This window comes from Homo sapiens, chromosome 22 (assembly GCF_000001405.40).
Source record: "Homo sapiens chromosome 22, GRCh38.p14 Primary Assembly".
In the NCBI taxonomy this organism is placed as follows: Eukaryota; Metazoa; Chordata; class Mammalia; order Primates; family Hominidae; genus Homo; species Homo sapiens.
Genome location: NC_000022.11, coordinates 46,598,444 through 46,620,709, shown reverse-complemented (window position 1 = coordinate 46,620,709; position 22,266 = coordinate 46,598,444). Strand labels below are relative to the sequence as shown.

The 22,266-nt window shown below is 55.1% G+C and overlaps 1 protein-coding gene across 15 annotated transcripts in view, besides 4 other annotated features; it reads right to left on the bottom strand.

Annotated features, from left to right (window-relative positions):
• The window catches only part of GRAMD4 (GRAM domain containing 4), a 107,013-nt gene that overhangs the window by 62,047 nt on the left and 22,700 nt on the right, over positions 1 to 22,266 (bottom strand). The window contains exon 1 of one of the 15 annotated variants that reach the window (XM_006724170.5): positions 6,654 to 6,831. The exons of 12 other annotated variants lie outside the window; for them this stretch is intronic. The gene's annotated coding sequence lies outside the window, so the exon portion shown is untranslated. Of the gene's footprint in view, positions 1 to 144; positions 325 to 349; positions 497 to 6,653; positions 6,832 to 22,266 lie in introns of those variants that run through there. 2 more of the 15 variants (XM_017028670.3, NM_015124.5) reach the window with 2 other exon arrangements.
• Positions 1,525 to 2,292: an enhancer, noted in NCBI's record as "H3K4me1 hESC enhancer chr22:47014315-47015082 (GRCh37/hg19 assembly coordinates)". NCBI's record gives its function as "activates a minimal SCP1, AML or CMV promoter by ChIP-STARR-seq in naive H9 embryonic stem cells {active_cell/tissue: H9 hESC(naive)}" and the evidence as "EXISTENCE:reporter gene assay evidence [ECO:0000049][PMID:30033119]".
• Positions 7,218 to 7,357: an enhancer, noted in NCBI's record as "active region_19244". NCBI's record gives its function as "activates an Ori minimal core promoter by ATAC-STARR-seq in GM12878 lymphoblastoid cells {active_cell/tissue: GM12878}" and the evidence as "EXISTENCE:reporter gene assay evidence [ECO:0000049][PMID:35858748]".
• Positions 15,979 to 16,058: an enhancer, noted in NCBI's record as "active region_19243". NCBI's record gives its function as "activates an Ori minimal core promoter by ATAC-STARR-seq in GM12878 lymphoblastoid cells {active_cell/tissue: GM12878}" and the evidence as "EXISTENCE:reporter gene assay evidence [ECO:0000049][PMID:35858748]".
• Positions 21,279 to 21,778: an enhancer, noted in NCBI's record as "H3K4me1 hESC enhancer chr22:46994829-46995328 (GRCh37/hg19 assembly coordinates)". NCBI's record gives its function as "activates a minimal SCP1, AML or CMV promoter by ChIP-STARR-seq in primed H9 embryonic stem cells {active_cell/tissue: H9 hESC(primed)}" and the evidence as "EXISTENCE:reporter gene assay evidence [ECO:0000049][PMID:30033119]".

The window sequence follows — 22,266 nt, the reverse complement described above, 5'->3', positions numbered from 1 at the left end:
TGCCTTTCAAGATCAAGATGGCTCCAGAAGAGCACGTGGTAGCTGGGACCACTGCCCCAGAGAGTAGCAGCTTTTCCCAAGGCTGGGGCTTCCACTCAGATGGGCCCTACCATGTCCCCCTGCCCCCTGCCCCCTGCCCCCTACCTCCGTCTGTCTCAGATACATCCAGAAACACTCTTTCACTGTGGCTCCTTCAGGTCCTGGCCCAGAACCAGGATGTGCTACGAGGACCCAGGAACCATAGCCTCCAAGCCGCCCAACACCAGCAGGCACGGAGAGGGTGGTGTCTGCTGCCCTGGAGCCTGGAGGACTCCAGTCCTGTGCACCAGAGCAGGGCAGCAGGGCTCACCACGGCTGTCCAGGTTCTCCCAGGATCCCCCAGGCTCAGGGCGGCGCCCGGCCAGGCTCCAGGCCCTCTCTGCAAGCAGGACGGAATTGGGCCAGCCAGCCCTGGAACACAAAAGCATGCTGCTCTGGAAACCGCTGAATTGCTTCTGGACACACAAAGGCAACAGTGTCTAGGGAACCCTGGACTCAGAAACCGCAAAGGACTTTATTTCCCCTTCCCCAGCCCAAGATTTAAAAAAAAAAAAGTGGTTCCTGGTCTCTGGCGCTTGCCCTGAGCCGTGTCTCCTTCACACCATCTCCCCTGCTAAAGTTCCTCTCCGAGTTCTGGGTCCCTGGATCACAGCTGACCTCCACATCAGGGCCCGGCTGCTGGCACGCCCTTCATCCCCTTATTATCTGGCGGCTCTCCTGCTGATCCTGGGATAAACAGCATCCGCTTTCCCACAGCCGCCAGCCCTCCTAAGCAATGTCCCTGGGGGACTCGCAGATGTTGAGCGACACAGACACACCTCCCCCACCCCCACTGCAGTGGGCCCCAGCCCCCACCTGGCCCTCCTCCAAGTCTCAGTCCTCTAGGGAAGGTAGCCCCTAAACCTCACTGTCAGAAAGGCCTGGATGGAGGTTAGACCAGCAGCTGGACAGCCAACCTGGGCAGCTGAAGAGGACGTGAGGATGGGGCAGCTGGCAGACTCCAGGGCTTTGCAGAGTGAACAGGAGGACCGGGGGCGGCCAGCAAAGAAGGCCTGGTTCTACCAATACCCCATCGCCAGCCAGGCACCAGGGCTCAGGCCTGTAATCCCAGCACTTTGAGAGGCTGAGGTGGGCAATGCAGTGACACAGAAAGTGAAATAAGAACATGAGCCAGCGTGGTGGTACGTGCCTACAGTCCCAGTTGCTCAGAAGGTTGAGGCAGGAGGATCGCCTGGGAACCTGGGAGTTTGAGGCTGCGGTGAACCACGATCGTACCACTGCACTCCAGCCTGGGTGAGGGCCAGACCTTGTCTCTAAGAACAAAACAAAAACATCCACCCCAATGTCCCCATGCTTACAGCCACATACTTGCACCTCCCTAACTCCTGATGCAAAGAGGCCCAAGGACCCAGCACACACACAGCTCCCTGGGCCCTCTGGGGTCCTGAGACTGCAGATCCTGCCCTTCCAGCCCGTGCCCGACCTTGGCCACTATTGTTCCAACATCAGCCTCAAGAGGTCGGCTCACAACTGATGACATGTGTGCTGCCCCAAACTCAAGGCTTGTCCAGGAGTTTCATCCCCTCCCTGGATTCAGGCCTCAGTCCTGCCAGCTGGGCACAGTCAGGCGGCCTCAAATGCTGATGTCCGTATCCGGGTGTTTGGCTGCTCTCAACCCTGCCCCCTGACCTGGCCTCCCTGCAGGCTCCAAGCCGGACAGCTCACCAGTATCTCAACTATGCCACGCCTGGCACAGACTCGGGTCTCAAGGGGCACTCTGACTGGATGGCACCGTGTCCACCAGCTGTCTGGGTGAAACCCTCAAGAGCCCTTGATAGCCCCGTTCCTCACTCCACTGCCAACCTGCAGCGCACGCCGGCCGCACGCCTCCAGACGGGGCTGCACATCTGTCCACCTCTCCCCACGACCCCAGCCTGGTCCAGGCAGCCGCGTGCCTCCCCTCTCCCCACCACCCCAGCCTGGTCCAGGCAGCCGCGTGCCTCCCGAAGCCTTCTCCACATGGCAAGCATGGTGAGGCCTTCAAAGGCAAAATCAGCCTCTGCAGCGCCCCTGCCAAAGTTCTCCAGGGGCTTCCACGCACCCGGGTCAACACGGCTGCTCCCCCGACACCCTCATCAGCTCTGGCTCATCTAGGCTTGGCTGCAGCTCTGCCGACCCCCTTTGCAACCCTCCGACCACCGCCTCTGTCCCCACTGCAGGGCCCGACACGTTTGGCTCCGGGACGTCGCTCATTTGCCCCATTCCCTAGGCGCCGCCCGCTGTCATTCCACCATCCTGTTTGGTTTGACGTGGGGTCCTTGGATTGCCCTGATGGCTTCCTTGTTTAGCGCTTGTGCCTCCAGTCCTGCTTGGTTAGAACCCGCCTGGTGCTCCCCCGGGGCAGGGGCTGTGTCTGGCTAAGTCTCCAGGGGCTCGGCTCTGCCGGTGATGCTCAGGTGGACTCGAGCTGCAGGCACCCGAGTCTCCCTCTGCAGAGCTTGGCACGTGGTGGGCAGTGACAAACACTTGTTCAGAGAGTGAGGGAGCGACACACAAAGGCAGCCCAGATGCCACGGCTGGGGGGTCCCCGCCAGCCTGAGCCCGCAGCCACCAGCTGAGCTTTCTTTCCTCTGCCAGAGGCCTCAAGAGAAAGGGACACCCATGGACTAGGGACACCCATGGACTCTGCCTTGGGCCCTGCCAAAGCACAGCGTCCCTGAATACACAAAAACTTTTAACTACAAGCCTTCAGTGATCTGGGATGTTTCTCCAGGAAGAAACCTGAATTCCTTCCCTTGGCAAAGTATCTTCAGGCTTGAGTCATACGAGGGTCAGGCTGGAACCCCATGTGGGGAGCTGAGCCTTCTGCACTGTGACAGGGAAGCCACCCAGGGGGGCCAGGGAGCGGGCCCAGGGCTAAGCACACCCTGGGGTGCTAATGCCAGCACGGTGTATGGCCCGCTCTGGGGCCACTTGCCAGCGTGGCCCAGGAGAGACAGTCAGGAAGACTGGGAGGGCCAGGAGATGCCTACGTGAGTCTCCGCTTCTTCCTCTGTGTGCTGGGATCCTGCCCAGGCCTGGGGAGGAAGGAGCTGGTTAATGTTTAAGGACCCAACACAGAGGAACCTACACGCACAAGGGAACCTACACGCACAAGGGAACCTACACACGGGGAAACCTACACGCACAGGGGAACCTACACACAGGGGAACCTACACGTATGGGGGGAACCTACACCCAGGGGAACCTACACACAGGGGAACCTGCAAGCACAGGGGAAGCTGCACACACAGGGGAACCCGCACACATGGGAGAACCTACACACGGGGGAACCTACATGCTTAGGGGAACGTACACACAGGGGAACCTACATGCACAGCAGAACCTACACACGGGGGAACCCACAAGCACAGGGGAACCTACACACTGGGGAACTTACACATGGGGGAACCCACACGCACAGGGGAACCTACACACGGAGGAACCTACACGCACAGGGGAACCTACACACGGGGGAACCTACACACACAGGGGAACCTACACATGGGGGAACCTACACGGACAGGGGAACTTACACATGGGGGAACCCACACGCACAGGGGAACCTACACACGGGGGAACCCACACGCACAGGGGAACCTACACACGGGGGAACCCACACGCACAGGGGAACCTACACACGGGGGAACCTACACGCACAGGGGAACCTACACACGGGGGAACCTACACGCACAGGGGAACCTATACGCACAGGGGAACCTACACACGGGGGAAACTACACGCACAGGGGAACCTACACACGGGGGAACCTACACACAGGGGAACGTACACACAGGGGAACGTACACACAGGGGAACCTACACACACAGGGGAACCTACACACAGGGGAACCTGCACGCACAGGGGAAGCCACACACACAGGGGAACCTGCACACACGGGGGAACCTACACGCACGGGGGAACCTACACGCACAGGGGAACCTACACGCACAGGGGAACCTACACACAGGGGAACGTACACACAGGGGAACGTACACACAGGGGAACCTACACACACAGGGGAACCTACACACAGGGGAACCTGCACGCACAGGGGAAGCCGCACACACAGGGGAACCTGCACACACGGGGGAACCTACACAAGGGGGAACCTACACGCTTGGGGGAACCTACACACGGGGGAACCGACACGCACAGGGGAACCTACACACGGGGGAACCTACACGCACAGGGGAACCTACTCACGGGGGAACCTACACGCACAGGGGAACCTACACGCACAGGGGAACCTACACACAGGGGAACGTACACACAGGGGAACGTACACACAGGGGAACCTACACACACAGGGGAACCTACACACAGGGGAAGCCACACACACAGGGGAACCTGCACACACGGGGGAACCTACACGCACGGGGGAACCTACACGCACAGGGGAACCTACACGCACAGGGGAACGTACATACAGGGGAACGTACACACAGGGGAACGTACACACAGGGGAACCTACACACACAGGGGAACCTACACACAGGGGAACCTGCACGCACAGGGGAACCTACACAAGGGGGAACCTACACGCTTGGGGGAACCTACACACGGGGGAACCGACACGCACAGGGGAACCTACACATGGGGGAACCAACACGCACAGCAGAACCTACACACGGGGGAACCCACAAGCACAGGGGAACCTACACAGGGGGGAACTTACACATGGGGGAACCCACACGCACAGGGGAACCTACACACGGGGGAACCTACACGCACAGGGGAACCTACACACGGGGGAACCTACACGCACAGGGGAACCTACACACGGGGGAACTTACACATGGGGGAACCCACACGCACAGGGGAACCTACACACGGGGGAACCTACACGCACAGGGGAACCTACACAAGGGGGAACCTACACGCACAGGGGAACCTACACACGGGGGAACCTACACGCACAGGGGAACCTACGCACAGGGGAACCTACGCACAGGGGAACCTACGCACGGGGGAACCTACACGCACAGGGGAACCTACACACGGGGGAACCTACACGCACGGGGAACCTACACACGGGGGAACCTACACGCACAGGGGAACCTACACGCACAGGGGAACCTACACACAGGGGAACCTACACACACAGGGGAACCTGCACACACAGGGGAACCCGCACACACGGGGGAACCTACACAAGGGGGAACCTACACACGGGGAAACCGACACGCACAGCGGAACCTACACATGGGGGAACCCACAAGCACAGGAGAGCCTACACACACAGGGGAACCTACACACAGGGGAACCTGCACACACAGGGGAAGCCGCACACACAGGGGAACCTACACACGGGGGAACCTACACGCACAGGGGAACCTACACACGGGGGAACCCACACGCACAGGGGAACCTACACACGGGGGAACCTACATGCACAAGGGAACCTACACACGGGGGAACCTACACACGGGGAAACCGACACGCACAGCGGAACCTACACATGGGGGAACCCACAAGCACAGGAGAGCCTACACACACAGGGGAACCTACACACAGGGGAACCTGCACACACAGGGGAAGCCGCACACACAGGGGAACCTACACACGGGGGAACCTACACGCACAGGGGAACCTACACACGGGGGAACCCACACGCACAGGGGAACCTACACACGGGGGAACCTACATGCACAAGGGAACCTACACACGGGGGAACCTACATGCACAGGGGAACCTACACACGGGGGAAACCAGACGCACAGGGGAACCTACATGCACAGGGGAACCTACACGCACAGGGGAACCTACATGCACAGGGGAAGCTACAAGCACAGGAGAACCTATAAAGCACAGGGGAACCTACACACGGGGGAACCTTCACACGGGGGAACCTACACGCACAGGGGAACCTACACGCACAGGCACATGTCCTATGTTTACTACCTGCGGCACGTATCTGCAAATAATCATGAAATGTGCACTACCCATAAAGTATAAATTCTGGACAGCCAACTGACTCCCACAGAATGCTTTCATGAATTTGTGCTCAAATCCTGTCTCCACGGTTGGCCCCTGGCAGCCACCACCAATGAGCACCACACGGATGCTGGCTGGTGTTTTTGTTTCCGTTTACAAACCACAACAAAGGTGGAAGGGAGACATGCAGGGGAACGCCACCTGTGAGTCTACAACACGGGAAATGTCCTTGCTGAATAAGGTAGCTGCTTTCCAATGGCAGAATATTTTCACAAGGCTTTTACGCCATTCGTAATGAACGGCTACAGACCTCACACAATTTTTAGCTTCATCTGCACGTTAACACTTTCCTCATCAGTTTGGTAAGTCTAGACAACCAACACAAGGAGAAGTGAGGCCCCGAGTGGCAGCAGCGCCCCGCCCTTGGTGCACACACTCCCGCCATGCCAGCGGCCATCATTGCACAGCGTTTCTGCCACGCGCGGCAGGCCCAGGGAACCTCGGCAGCACACGCAATAGTAAAATGCTATCATATGATTCAGAAATGATGGGGTTCGAGTATTCAATGCCTTTGCTTTCAACATAATTGATCTAACTGCAAGTTAATGTATTTTCATTTTTATTAACGGCCAACTCACAGAATTCCTGAAAATCCATCAATCAGCTCCTGGGAACCCGCGTGAGCCGCCTCCAGATCCCTCCTCACACTGCTGCAGCCGCGGCCATGACGGCCATGAGGGCACAGGGCTCCGTGAACAGCAGCAGCCTCCCCTCACCCACCTCCCTCCCAGCAGGCTTGAGACAGATGCGTGAAATAGAAGGTGAGGTCTAAATGCAAAAGAGTTCCTGAGAGGCCCCAAGGGGTCAAAGACAGCCTGGGAAGCAGGAAGCAGCAAGCCGGGCAGCCCGCCTCCAGGGCAGGAGGGGGTGTGTATGGCAGCACTGAAGCCTCGGGGTGGGGTGGGCCCATCTCTGACTCAGGAACAGCAGCCTGACCTCTAGCCCCATCCTGGCACCCTGCCCTCTGCACCATGGAGGCCCCTTCCTGGCCTCCAGGATGCTGCCCAAGCGATGCCCTCTGTCCGAGACGGCCTTCCCAGCCATCGGGTAGCCGCCACCCAGCCCAAGTTACTCTCTACTTCAATCACATCACCCTGCCTGGAGGACCCAAAACCACCACATACCACAGCGACAGCAGCTCGGGGACACAGGGAACACTCGCCTGTGCGGGGCTAGGGGTTGCATCCTGGCCCTCTGTGCCTCCAGCACCGAATGGGGCTGACCCACATCTGCTCCAGTCGCCCTAAGTACCACCGGGGCTGGAGAGCCTCGAGGAGTGGACATGTGTCCCACTATCCACCAGATCATCTCAAGCACAGGCATGCAGTGGGTCGCGGCAGCCGGAAGCCAGGCCCAGGCTGGCCACAGCTGTGTGACCTCGGACAGGGGCCCCTGCTCAGGGCTGTTAGAGGACAACATGAGAGTGCTGGAAGGACTCAGCAACCTGCCCAGCCAGCAGTGGTAACGACAGCAAAAACACAGCCCTACTCTCCAAAAAAGTGTTCCACAAACGCTGCTCTCACGCCCCATACATCACCACTGCATAACCACAGGCGCTGGGGAGGCAGCGCTGTCTTGTGGGTGTGGGGAGCCAGGGTAAAAAGTTCTGAGACCATCCCAAGACGCTGCTAGTCACTACGAGCTCCCGAGCAGGGACCCAAGCCCAAAGTCCACGGGTGGGGCAGGAAGGGCCTGTGGGTGAGCAGGGGCTGTGGGCAGCCACAGGAGAGAACCATGGCACACAGAACACAAACAGCACTTCAGCCTGGGGGCCCCGGGAAGCAGGAGACCGCGTCAGGGAAGGCGCAGCAGCCTTCGGCCACCCACTGGCCAGCACGGCTTGTCCTTGCCCCAGCTGTAGACAAACCAGGCCCACACCCTCTGCTCCCATCCGTGATCCAGCCCTAAAGGGTTGAGAGTAAGGTTCCTTGCACCAGGCTGCCCAGGTCAAGCCAGTCCTAACCCTCGGTTTCCAGGTCTTTAGGTAGAGGTAGCAGGGGCACCTGAGCACGCGTGTGAGCTCAGGAGCCCATCTCCAGGGAACCTGGGCCACAGTCCAGGCTTACACCAGCTTGGGCCTTGAGAGGAAGCCTCAGGTGAATGAGGGCTGGCAGCGCCTGCTACAGGCTATTCTCAGGACCAAGCACTGTGCCCTCACTTCCCCCAGGCCTCCCGCGCACCTGAGCCTGCTCAACACCACCAACTCCTGACACCAAGGAGAGAAGGCCTTCCTCCAACAGGCCAAGGACATCATCCAAATCTAGGTCCACAGCACAGCATCCATGGTCAGGAAACCACAGTAACAGTAACAATAACAACAGTACCATCGGCCAGCCTCAGTGGCTCACACCTGAAATCCCAGTACTCTGGGAGTCCAATGCAGGAGAATCACTTGAGCCCAGGAGTTCAAGACCAGCCCAGACAACACGGCAAGACCCCGCCTCTACGAAAAATAAAAGATAAGTTAGCCAGGCGGGATGGTGTGCACCTGTAGTCCCAGCTTCTCAGAAGACTGAGGCAGGAGAGTCGCTTGAGACCAGGAGTTCAAGGCTGCAGTGAGCTATGATCGAACCACTGCACTCCAGCCTGGGCAACAGATCAAGACCCTGTCTCTTCTTTTTTTTTTTTTTTTTTTTTTGAGATGGAGTCTCGCTGTGTCTCCCAGGCTGGAATGCAGTGGTGTAATCTCGGCTCACTGCAAGCTCCGCTTCCCGGGTTCACACCATTCTCCTGCCTCAGCCTCCCGTGTAGCTGGGACTATAGGTGCCCCCCACCATGCCCGGCTAATTTTTTTTTTTTTGTATTTTTAGTAAAGATGGAATTTCACCATGTTAGCCAGGATGGTCTCGATCTCCTGACCTCGTGATCCACCCACCTCGGCCTCCCAAACTGCTAGGATTACAGGCATGAGCCACCACACCCAGCCGAGACCCTGTCTCTAAAAATAAATTAATAAAAATAATGTCACCAACAGTTCCATCCACACCTCAGAAGGGCAGCCTCTGCCCAATAAGCCTTTCTCGGAGTGTACAAAGCAGGATGAAAGGACGAGAGTGACAAGCTCCCACCAGTGTTCATCTCCCCTACCCCAATCACAATGTTGAAAGGAAGAAGCATCTGCTAAACCACCTGACAAATGGGTAAACTGAGGTTCGGGAAGGCAGGGTGAGAAAGAAGTGGCACAACAGGAACACGAACTGACTCCACTGGACTCCATGGCCTGAGCTTGCTTAAACCCCACGACAGCCCCAGAAGCAGCTTAGCACCCGTCACCCCACCCTCCCCAGCATATGCCTCTATTAATCCATCCATCACACCATATGGCAGCTCATAGGCCCCTCTGCCTAGAAGCCTGAATGGGGACCCTGGCAGAGTGACCGCATAGATGTTTATTTTTTATTTAATATTTTTTTTTTTTGAGATGGAGTTTCGCTCCTGTTACCCAGGCTGGACTGCAATGGCGTGATCCTGGCTCACTGCAACCTCTGTCTCCCGGGTTCAAATGATTCCCCTGCCTCAGCCTTCCGAGTAGCTGGGATTACAGGCACCTGCCACCATGCCCGGCTAATTCTTTGTATTTTTAGTAGAGATGGGGTTTCACCATGTTGGCCAGGCTGGTCTCGAACTGCTGACCTCACTTGATCCCCCAGCCTCTGCCACCCAAAGTGCTGGGATTACAGGCATGAGCCACCACTCCCGGCCTGCAAAGATGTTTATTTAAAGAAAACAAAGCTGGCAAGAAAACCTAAGTGTAGGCACAGGTAGGCAAGCAAAAACTACTGTGTTGTAGAAGCAAATACACTAAGCCACAGGAAACACACGGAGGGATGCGTTTCTAGTGGAAACATTCTTTTTCCAACTCTCTCCATCACTCCTAGCAACCAGGGCTTGAGAATAACCAGCCAATGAGATGGCCGAAAGGAAGCCCCTTCTGGATTCCCCAGATTCGCCATGTCTTCCTGCCACTGCCCTTGCCCAATTTCCCACAAGCTGAAAGCTGTCTGAAAGCAGGCTGTTCCCCAGACGTGTTTCTGCATCAAAGACTGCAATATCGCGAAGGCACAGGGAGCGGCTCCTAGGTGGGGTTCAGCAAGCCCAGTCTGTGAGAGGCCGGGCGGTGAACACCTTCAGCCCAGCAGGCCACACGGCCTCTACAACTTCCCAACTCTGCTGTGGTGCAAATGGGCACGGCTGTGTACAAATCAGACACCATTTACAAAACAGGCAGAAACAGGTGGCAGTGGGTGGTGTGTGGTCCGTGGGCTGTCACTGACCGTCCCTGTCCGGGGTCCACAGATGCCTAGCAGAATAAGAACGCTCACAGAAGCCCATGTCCCCACTAACCCACGCCAGGGACAGGGCAGACCAGAGGGAACCGCAGCCCTCACCAGGCACGCACGTGCTCCTTTAAGTGGCCCGCGCATCACAGATTCATGTGTGGGCCTTGCCACCATCCAGTCCTCTTAAGGGAAGGGTGAGGAATAAGGCGTGGTCCCTGGCCAGGCTGGGGCAGCCTGGACGGTCTCCAAGTTCCTGGGGGCAGAAGAAGCTTGGTGAAGGATCCCACGTGCCACCATCCACCCTCTTATCCAACCTGGGCCGTAGCCTGGGGGCTTCTCCCCACCATCCCAGGTCCCACCCAAGGCAGAGGAGCCAGCAAGGAGGGCGCCACACTCAGGGGTGCTGGAAGGCGAACCGACTCAGAACAGCCACCAGTGTAGGCCCCCGTCCACACCTACCAGCAGCCGGGCCGCCCCTCAGGTTTCAGAGAGGCGCCTCTTACTGCCCAGTGACAAACAACAACACAGTGAAGAAGACTGGTGAAGCCAGGAGCCAGCCCTAAGCACCGCCTCCTGCCTGGGGCCCCACGGCCCTCCCCGGTGGGATGCTCTGCAGACCCTGCTCTGCTGTTCCACATCCCCAAAGCACTCGCACTCCACAATGCGGAATCCAGTGTGTGCGTGGGCCTCTCTGACCATCAGCGTGCCGTGTCCCTGGGGCCCAGCACACGGCCTGGCACCAAAGAACTGGCAGCAAATGAATGGGTGAGTCAGGTGGATTTTACAGAAGTTCCTGGGTCCCTGGGCAAATCTAGTACAGAAGTAAACCCACATGGCCTCAAATAGCTCCTCCCGTGAAAAGAGCCTTTGTGTACCTCCAAACCACTACCTCCCCTTTTGTCAACTTCTTTTGTTTAAATGTGGCCCAGCTGAGGTCAAAGGGCTCCGCCAGGCCTACCAAGACTCTCCCACATGGACCAAGCCCTGGGATACATACAAGCCCAACACAGGGCTACCCCGCACAGCAGGCTGCGGAACACCTTCCGTGTTTAAGGAAGCACACAGCCAGGAGAAGGTGGACCCAGGCTCCTGCGCGGAGGGCAACAGGATCGCCTGAGGCCAAGCCGGCCCAGACAGCAACCAGCGCCACTCAGCGGTCTGCGATGTATGTCTCTGGGGCAAAACCCAAGAGCCAAGAAAAAACAAAAAAAAATGTTTTGGGCTTTTCGGGTTGTTGTTGTTTTTTTTTTTAGAGACAAGGTCTTACTCTTTCACCCAGGATGGAGTGCAATGGCACAATCATAGGTCACTGTGGCCTCCCAATTCAGCCTCTGGGGTAGGTGGTACTGCAGGCACGTGCCACTGCCCAGTGATCCTCGCAACTCAGCCTCTGGGGCGGCTGGTACTACAGGCACGTGCCACTGCCCAGTGATCCTCGCAACTCAGCCTCTGGGGAGGCTGGTACTACAGGCACGTGCCACTGCCCAGCTAATTTTTAAAAAATTTTTAGTAGAGATGGGATTTCACTATGTTGCTCAGGCTGGTCTCAAACTCCTGATTTCAAGCCATCCTTCCATCTCAGCCTCCCAAAGTGCTGGGATTACAGGCATGAACCACAGCAGCTGGCCAAGAAAAAAATATATATATTGGCCAGCTACGCACACACACACATTTTGATACGGAATTTCGCTCTTGTCGCCCAGGCTGTAGTACAGTAATGCAATCTTGGCTCACTGCAACCTCTGCCTCCTGGGTTCAAGCAATTCTTCTGCCTCTGCCTCCCAAGGAGCTGTCACTGCAGGCACCCGCCACCACACACAGATAATTTTTGTATTTTTAGTAGAGATGGGGTTTCGCCATGTTGCCCAGGCTGGTCTCCAACTCCCGACCTCGGGTGATCCGCCTGCCTCGGCCTCCCAAAGTGCTGGAATTACAGGTGTGAGCCACCATGCCCGGCCCAAAATACTATTTCAGAAGGAAGATCAAAAACCCGCAAGGTCCACTTCACACCTGTTGCCCAGGTAACCACCTGCCAGCTGGGGTGCTCTGATAGTCCAGTCTCACAGAAGAGTGTCCTGACAGGCCTGAGAGCACGGGCGGCCCTGATGGAAGATGAGAGAAGCACATGTTTCGGCTGCAGGCTGCAGGCTGGACAGGCTTGCTAAGGGGCTGCTCGCCATCTACTAGGGACTAGGGAACAAGAACAAGGAGCAGGCAGTGCATCTTAGAGCTGGAATACTGCATGTCCACGAACCACAATGACCGAGCCACGCACTAAGTGTTTAATGAGCACCTACTACGTGCCCGACAGGACCCTCAGCGCAAGGATACAGAGGAGGCGAGGCCAACAAACCCATGGAGCTGGAAGTGCTGCCCTAACTGTGGAGAAGACACCCCACGGCCCCTGGGGGGGCAGCCGGCACCAGCCCAGGAAGGTGCTCAGAGGAGCAGTCGCGGCACCGCAGGCTGAGGGCATGAAGGACAGGTCGCAGGCTGCAGAGGAAGGGCACTCCGGGACGAGGGAGCAGCACATGCAGGGCACTTTTGCCAAAACAAACCAGAAAGGAGCTGGTGGGAGCAGAGAGGCTGTGGTAGGGCACTCGGTCCCATTCCGAGCACAGCGTGGAGCACCCTGGCCAATGGTTGGAAGAGGCCTGAAGTGGAAATACCAGTTAGGAAACCGTGGCCAGGCAGAGGAGAGAGGGCGGTGGCTGGGACTGGTGCGGGCAGCGGAGATGGAGCCAAGCAGGCATGTCAGGATGCATCCAGGGAGGAGCAAAGGCAGGGAGCATCGGGCGAATCCCCTGGCACCCCCACGTTAATGGTGGCCATAGCCACACTTCGTAAGGGACAGTAACCTGCCCGGTGCCTCCTGGCCGCACCTGACTCAATCCCTACACACCAGCCTGTGGAGGGCTGGTTCCTGGCTCCCCTACACCTGTCACCCAGCCTGGCAGGTACTAAGAACCCATAACTATTGGCGACTATTATTATGACCCCTCCTTTTTTTATAACACTTTGAGTTCTAGGGTACATGTGCACAACATGCAGGTTTGTTACATAGGTATGCACGTGCCATGTTGGTTTGCTGCACCCATCAACTCGTCATTTACATTAGGTATTTCTCCTAATGCTGTATGACCCCCCCCTTTTTAAAGACACGAGGGAACTGTGGCTCAGGAAAGGACATCACAACCATCACAGGGTGGGGGATGGGACCCCAGGCTTCACTGCTCCTGCACGCCCATGGGCCCGGCAGGGAGACCAGGGGCACTGGGCTGTCGGAGTGAGGTGGGGTCGGCAGCAGAGCTCTGGACTCACTGGATTCTCAGGCAAACGCTCTGGCCTGCTTCCAGTGCCCACAGCTGGGGAGGGTAAGCCATAGCCATACAGGGGGCCAGGGAAAACAGTGCGACAGCTCCTCAAAAAATTCAAAACAGAACTACCATATGACCCAGCAATCCCATTTCTGGGTATAATCCAAAGAGCTGAAAGCAGGGACACAAAGAGATACTGGCACACCCATGTCCACAGCAGCACCATTCGCCCAAGCCAAGAGGTGGAAATAACCCGAGTGCCCGTCCAATCGGCCAATAAGTCCACGCAGAGATGCTCAGCACTGGGCATGAGCCCATGAAGAGATGCTCAGCACCAACCATAAACCCATGCAGACATGCTCAGCACCGGTCAATAAACCCATGCAGAGATGCTCAGCACCTGCCATAAGCCCATGCAGACATGCTCAGCACCGGTCAATAAACCCATGCAGAGATGCTCAGCACCGGCCATAGGCCCATGCAGACATGCTCAGCACCGGTCAATAAACCCATGCAGAGATGCTCAGCACCAGCCATAGGCCCATGCAGACATGCTCAGCACTGGTCAATAAACCCATGCAGAGATGCTCAGCACCAGCCATAAGCCCATGCAGAGATGCTCAGCACCAGCCATAAGCCCATGCAGACATGCTCAGCACCAGGAATAAACCCATGCAGAGATGCTCAGCACCTGCCATAAGCCCATGCAGACATGCTCAGCACCGGTCAATAAACCCATGCAGAGATGCTCAGCACCAGCCATAGGCCCATGCAGACATGCTCAGCACTGGTCAATAAACCCATGCAGAGATGCTCAGCACCAGCCATAAGCCCATGCAGAGATGCTCAGCACCAGCCATAAGCCCATGCAGACATGCTCAGCACCAGGAATAAACCCATGCAGAGATGCTCAGCACCTGCCATAAGCCCATGCAGACATGCTCAGCACCGGTCAATAAACCCATGCAGAGATGCTCAGCACCAGCCATAGGCCCATGCAGACATGCTCAGCACTGGTCAATAAACCCATGCAGAGATGCTCAGCACCAGCCATAAGCCCATGCAGAGATGCTCAGCACCAGCCATAAGCCCATGCAGACATGCTCAGCACCAGGAATAAACCAATGCAGAGATGCTCAGCACCGGCCATAAGCCCATGCAGAGATGCTCAGCACCGGCCATAAACCCATGCAGAGATGCTCAGCACCGGCCATAAACCCATGCAGAGATGCTCAGCACCGGCCATAGGCCCATGCAGAGATGCTCAGCACCGGCCATAGGCCCATGCAGAGATGCTCAGCACCGGCCATAGGCCCATGCAGAGATGCTCAGCACAGTCGTCACTGGGGGAAATGCAAACCAAACCACAAGGGGAGACCCTTTCACACCCATTAGGACGGCCATGATCAAAAACTCAGAAAACAACAAGTGTTGGCGAGAATGGGGAGAAACCGGAACCCTTGTGCACTGTTTGTGGGGTATAAAATGGTGCAGCTGCTGTGAATCACAGTATGGAGGTTCCGCAAAATACGAAAAATAGAACTACCATATGATCCAACAATCCCCCTTCTGGGGATACTCAAAAGAACTAAAAGCAAGGTCTTGAAGAGATATTTGCATACCCATGTTCACTGCAGCATTTTTCGTAAGAGCCAAAAGGGTGAAGCAACCTAAGTGTTCATGAACAGATGAACGAATAAGCAACATGTGGCCCATCCACACCATGGAATATTACTCAGCCCTGAAAAGGAAGGAAATTCTGACATTTGCCAGAACCTGGGTGAACCCGGAGAATATTATGGCACCAAAACCTGGGTGAACCCAGAGGACATTATGGCACCAGAACCTGGGTGAACCCGGAGAACATTATGGCACCAAGACCTGGGTGAACCCAGACAACATTATGGCACCAAAACCTGGGTGAACCCAGAGAACATTATGGCACCAAGACCTGGGTGAACCCAGACAACATTATGGCACCAAAACCTGGGTGAACCCGGAGAACATTATGGCACCAAAACCTGGGTGAACCCAGAGAACATTATGGCACCAAAACCTGGGTGAACCCAGAGAACATTATGGCACCAAGACCTGGGTGAACCCAGACAACATTATGGCACCAAAACCTGGGTGAACCCGGAGAACATTATGGCACCAAAACCTGGGTGAACCCAGAGAACATTATGGCACCAAAACCTGGGTGAACCCAGAGAACATTATGGCACCAAAACCTGGGTGAACCCGGAGAACATTATGGCACCAAGACCTGGGTGAACCCACAGAACATTATGGCACCAGAACCTGGGTGAACCCAGAGGACGTTATGGCTCCAGAACCTGGGTGAGCCCAGAGGACATTCTGCTTTGTGAAAGGAGGAAGTCATAGATAGACACTGTGAGATTCCACTTATCTGCAGTCCCCAGAGGAGTCAAATGCACAGAGACAGGAAGTGGATTGGGAGGTGTCGGGGGTGGGGAGAGGCTCTGGAGAGTCAGTGCTTTGTGGGTGCGGAGTTTCGGTTGGGGAAGATCAGATGTTCTGGGGATGAATGGTAGTGACGGTTGCAGAACAGTGTGAATGTGCTTTAACGCCAGTAAATGACACACTCCGAAATGGTTAAGACGGTACATTGTGTTATGTCTATTTTACCACAATTTATACAGAGAGAGAGAGAGAAAACCGATCCTCCCTTTGAAAATCTACAAATTGAATGTAATTTCCCTTAAAAGAAAAACAACAGATTTTAGAAGAACCAAGACAATCTGGATCTAAGGTTTATAGGGAAAAATAAACAAGCCAAATAGCCAGGAAAATTCTGAAAAGCCGGACTGACGGGGGGAGGCCAGCCCTGCCACGCAAACGCAATGGGGCAGCAGCGGAGTTCAAAGCATGTTAACGGCGCATGAACAGAAAACAGAGCCACGAGAAGGTACAAAAACAGACTCAGACCCAATTGTGATCAGAGGCATTTTAATAGGAGGGTGTGAGATAACTCACTCCACCAATCACGTTGGGACATCTAGGAAGCTACCTAGAAAAAGATAAGGCTGGCTCTGCACCTCACACCTTCCCAAAATAAATTCAGATTAGACCAAAGGTTTGAATGCAGAACAAGGAAAGCATTCATGTAGCAAAGGTGGCCCTGGAGGGGCACCCATAACCCTGGGACTGGACGAGGTCTGTCACAGCGAGATGAGGAACACAATAAAAGAGAAGAGGCCGAGGCTGGGCGCGGTGGTCACGCCTGTAATCCCAGCACTTTGGGAGGCCGAGGCGGGCGGATCAGGAGGTCAGGAGATCGAGACCATCCTGGCTAACACATTGAAACCCCGTCTCTACTAAAAATACAAAAAAATAGCCAGGCGTGGTGGTGGGCGCCTGTAATCCCAGCTACTCGAGAGGCTGAGGCAGGAGAATGGCGTGAACCCGGAAGGCGGAGCTTGCAGTGAGCCAGGATCGCGCCACTGCACTCCAGCCTGGGTGACAGAGTGAGACTCCATCTCAAAAAAAAAAAAAAAAAAAGAGAAGAGGCCGGGCGCGGTGGCTCATGCCTGTAATCCCAGCACTTTGGGAGGCGGAGGCGGGCGGATCACGAGGTCAGGAGATCGAGACCACCCTGGTTAACACGGTGAAACCGCGTCTCTACTAAAAATACCAAAAAAATTAGCCGGGTGTGGTGGCGGGCGCCTGTGGTCCCAGCTACTCGGGAGGCTGAGGCAGGAGAATGGTGTAAACCCAGGAGGCGGAGCTTGCAGTGAGCCGAGGTCATGCCACTGCAATCCAGCCTGGGCAACACAGCGAGACTCCGTCTCAAAAAAAAAAAAAAAAAAAAAAAACAAGAGAAGATACGTTATGTTAAAAACAAATTTTTGCAAGGCAAAAACCTCCGTAAGCAGTCAGAGATAAATGATAACCCGGGAAAAAAAATTTCAACACACACCACAAAGGATTCATTTGCCTGCCATGGCCAAACATTTCAATAGAAAAATGGACAAGAGGTCAGGTGTGGTGGCTCACACCTGTAATCCCAGCATTTTGGGAGGCCAAGGCAGGCAGATAGCGAGATCAGGAGTTCGAGACCAGCCTGGCCAACATGGTGAAACCCCATCTCTACTAAAAATACAAAAAGTAGCCAGGCGTGGTGGCATGTGCCTGTAGGCCCAGCTACTCAGGAGGCTGAGGCAGGAGAATTGCTTGAACCCAAGAGGCAGAGGTTGCAGTGAGCCGCACTCCAGCCTGGAAGACAGAGACTCTGCCTCAAAAAAAAAAAAAAAAGAGAAAAATGGACAAAAGATAAAGGAAAAACAAACAGCCCTTAAACAAATGTAAAGATGATTAACCTTCACTTATAATGAGAGAAATACAATTTTTTTTTTGAGACAGAGTCTCACTCTGTCACCCAGGCTGGAGTGCAGTGGTACGATCACAGCTCACCGCAGTCTCGACCTCCCAGGTTCAGTGATCCTCCTGCCTCAGCCTCCCAAGTTGCTGAGACTAGAGGTGCACGCCACCATGCCCAGCTAATTTTTGTACTTTTTGTAAAGACAGGGTTTTGCCATGTTACCCAGGCTGGTCCCGAACTCCTGGACAACATGGTCTCGCAAAGCGTTGGGGCTACAGGTATCAGTCACTGTGCCCAGCCGATAAATACAAACTAAATTGCCTTGGGAAACCACTTCCCCAAAAGACTGGCAAAGAGGCACAGCATGTGGGTGTGGGGTCAGGGGACACAGGCTCTGTCCCACGTGGAGAGTGGCATGGAAGGAAATTTTGCAATATCCAACAAAATGGTGATTTCACTTCCAGGAAGCTCTCCTAGTCTCTCACACGCACGATGGCGGTGGGGCAAGGCCGTCTCCCGGCAGCATCGTTTTCATGACAGCAAAAAGGCTGGACCCACCCATGTGGGACAATCCACAGTGCAGCCCCACAGCCTCGCAAGGAGCGAGGACCCCCGTGCACCACCATGGAGAGCCCACCGCCGACGTGGTCACTTGCCAGCACGTGCCTGGCCATGTGTCTATGGAAACGAGGAGGAGGAGAGGAGAAAAAAGACAAAGAAGCATGCCCAAGAGCTGCCCAAGAAGGGCTGGCATGGAAGCAGGACCAATGGAGACCTCTGGAGATATGAACTGGGGGCTGAAGCCATCAGGAGCCTTGATCCATGGTGAGTTCGGAATCCTGAAAGCATCAACTATTCCACAGTAAACTAAATTTTTTAACTTAAAAAAAAAGTTTTTTAGAGACAAGGTCTTGCTCTGTCACCCAGGCTGGAGTGCAGTGGCATAATCACAGCTCACAGCAACCTTAAACTCCTGGGCTTAAGGAATCCTCCCTCCTCAGCCTCCCGAGTGGCTGGGATCACAGGCACATGCCAACATGTCTGGCTAATTTTTTTATTTTTAGTAGAGATGGGGTTTCACCGTGTTGCCAGACTGGTCTCGAACTCCTGACCTCAGGTAATCCCCCCGCCTTAGCCTCCCAAAGTGCTGAGATTACAGGCGTGAGCCACTGCACCTGATCTAATTTTTAAATTAAATTAAAAATTTTAATAAAATAAAAATTAAAATAAAAACAAAAAACCCAAAACACCCTAATTCACATGGCAGAGAATCTTGCCTAAGACCTAAACCAGAGGTTCTCAAAGTGTGGCCCAGGGACCCTGGGGATTCCTTTCTGAGGACCCACAAGGTCGAAACTATTCCAGTGATAATCCTAAAATGCTGCTTGCCTTTCCCACACTTGCCCCCTGGCAGCTGCACGGTGTGACCCGGCGGCCGACGGGTCACAGAAGACAAGCTGTCTCCTGACAAATCACACCCCGAGGAGAGCTACAAAATGTCGGCACCCCTCTTCACTAATTCTTTTTTTAAGTAGTGATTTTTTTTTTCTTTGAGACAGAGTCTCGCTCTGTCACCCAGGCTGGAGTGCAGTGGTGCAATCTCAGCTGGCTGCAACCTCCGCCTCCCAGGTTAAAGTGATTCTCCTGCCCCAGTCTCCCGAGTAGCTGGGACTATAGGCACCTGCCACCATGTCTGGCTAATTTTTGCATTTTTAGTAGAGACGGGATTTCACCATATTGGCCAAGCTGGTCTTGAACTCCTGACCTTGTGATCCGCCTGCCTTGGCCTCCCAAAGTGCTGGGATTACAGGCATGAGCCACTGCACCTGGCCCCAAGTAGTGATTTCTTTTTAAAGAAAGACATGTTATTTATGTTAACATGTAATAGATTTATAGTTGCATATTTCAGTAAATTAATAAATCTTTTTAAATTTCTTAGTTTTGATTTCTAATAGCGAGTGGCAATGAATACACCCCACATGCACAAAGACTCGCCAGTGTCCTCCATCGCTTGAGGCTGTAAGGGGCTCTGCGACCGGGGCTTAGCACCTGAGTGTACAGGACGCACCTGCCGCCTTGCTCCGCTGTCTCCTCCATGCCTGCCTGTGCACTGTCTGTGCTTCCCCCACTCAGCATCCCTGTCCCTCTTTTGGTAAGGACCCTGCTCTCCACGGGGAATTACCCATCCCATGGTGAGGGGCTGCCAATCACATGCTCTGCCTCATCACGGGAATGAAGCCACAAGGGAAGCAGAAGGAGGCGTGGAGGGTGAAAAAGCACCACGTCAGAAGAAGGGGAGACCAGCGACCCAGCCAGAGCACCCCAAGCAGCTCCATACCGCAGGCCCCTGGCCCCAAGCTGGCAAAGCCCCCCTCTGCTTAAGCAAATCTGTGGGGGCCCTTTCCATTTTGCACGCTCTCTCTGATGGGGCTTTAGGAGACCCTCAGCAGTGGCCCACATCCCACCACTGGAACAGGGTGACAGCTCCAGGTGACAGCTGCGGGCACTGGTCACAGGCAGGTGATTCTCTCACAGAAGGGCACAGGTGTCACCAGCCTTTAAAAATCGAGGCATAAAACAGTCGATTCCCAAGACAGACACCTCAGGAAGAATCCTTTTATGACTAAAGGACTCTTCCACTCTCCGCAGGACCCTTTGACAAATAACCAGCAAGCTTCCTGGTGGCCTTAAGGTCAGATGAGATTCACAGTCAGCCACTCGACAGACAGTCCTACAGGGAGAAGGTGCCGCCGGTGGTGAGACACACCTGGGATTCTCACTGACTCAGGACTAAGGAGTCCCCACGTGGGGAAAGCCTTCCGATGGTCACTTTTCTGCAAAAGCAGTCACACCTCACAACACGCCTTTGCTCCAGCGACGGCGACCATGGAACTCGTAGGCATGTGGGGCCATCATGTTCGATGGTGCTGACTTGTGGAAACATTTCAATCTCCATCTTCCAGACAGAACCAAGATGCTCATTTCAGAGAATGGAGCTAATACATTAAATGCAGGTTGCTAGGTAATTTTTCACTAGGTAATTTTAATTCTCAAAAAAACTTAAGTATCAGCTGGGCATGGTGGCTCATGCCTGTAATCCCAGCACTTTGGAAGGCCGAGGCGGGTGGGTCACCTGAGGTCAGGAGTTCAAGACCAGCCTGGCCAAGAGGGTGAAACTCCATCTCTACTAAAAATACAAAAATACAAAAATTAGCCGGGCATGGTGGCAGGAGCCTGTAATCCCAGCTACTTGCGAGGCTGAGGCAGGAGAATCACTTGAACCCGGGAGGTAGAGGTTGCAGTGAGCCAAGATCGTGACACTGCACTCTAGCCCGGGGAACAAGAGCAAGACTCCGTCTCAAAAAAAAAAACAACTTAGTATCTAAAAGCACAACTATGAAACGACCAGCTCAACGTCTGAAAAATCACGAGCCATCTGCAAATTGCGTAACTGACAACGCAAGCACTCTCACACACAGGCCCTGTCTGCGCCCAGGGTGGCTCAACAGCAGAAATATCTGACCCCCAGTGGTCCCATCTGTTAACAAAGGCTCCAAAAATCTACTTCTTGTGTGCTAGGGGTTCTGTCAAGGACTTGGGATGTCCTGATCTGATCCTCCATCTCTGTCACGGCCTCTGTGTCACACAGTTCCCTGGGACCCCCATCCTCCTCCGGGGGTGCTGCAGGGCACTGAGCTGGTGGGCACCGGAGGCCACCAGAGGAGCTCACAGTCCCACCACCCCCAACCCTAGCCCTCTGGGTGCAGGGCGGCTCCTGTCTCCTGTGTTACCCTCTTCCCATGCATGTCCCCTCCTGGTTCCCCTTCTTTCAGTCCCAGCCTGAAACCCACCATGTAGCTGCTAAGCGTGCTCTCCAGACAAGGCCAGCTCCATCCTTCCCCGCTGGCCCGCACGGATTTTGAGGACTTGGCTTTCAGTGTCAGCTCCTAGTTCCAATTTCGGGTATACTTGGCCCTCAAGGAGCTCGGAGCTGCACCACAGGCCCTGTCTGACCTCAGGGTCTCCCCACATTCTAAACAAGCTCCTTCCCCCAAGCAGACCCCCATATACCTCAACTAACCAGAAGCTACCACCTAGACCCACAGGTGAGCCAGGAGCCGGCAGTCAGCAAATCACAGCAAATCAAGCCGGTAACCAGAACTGCTTTTCTCCAAAGTGGGAGAGAAAGCAACTTAGAGGCGTTCAGGCCAGGACTCATCCTAGACAAGGTCTTACAGCTTGCTCAATTAGA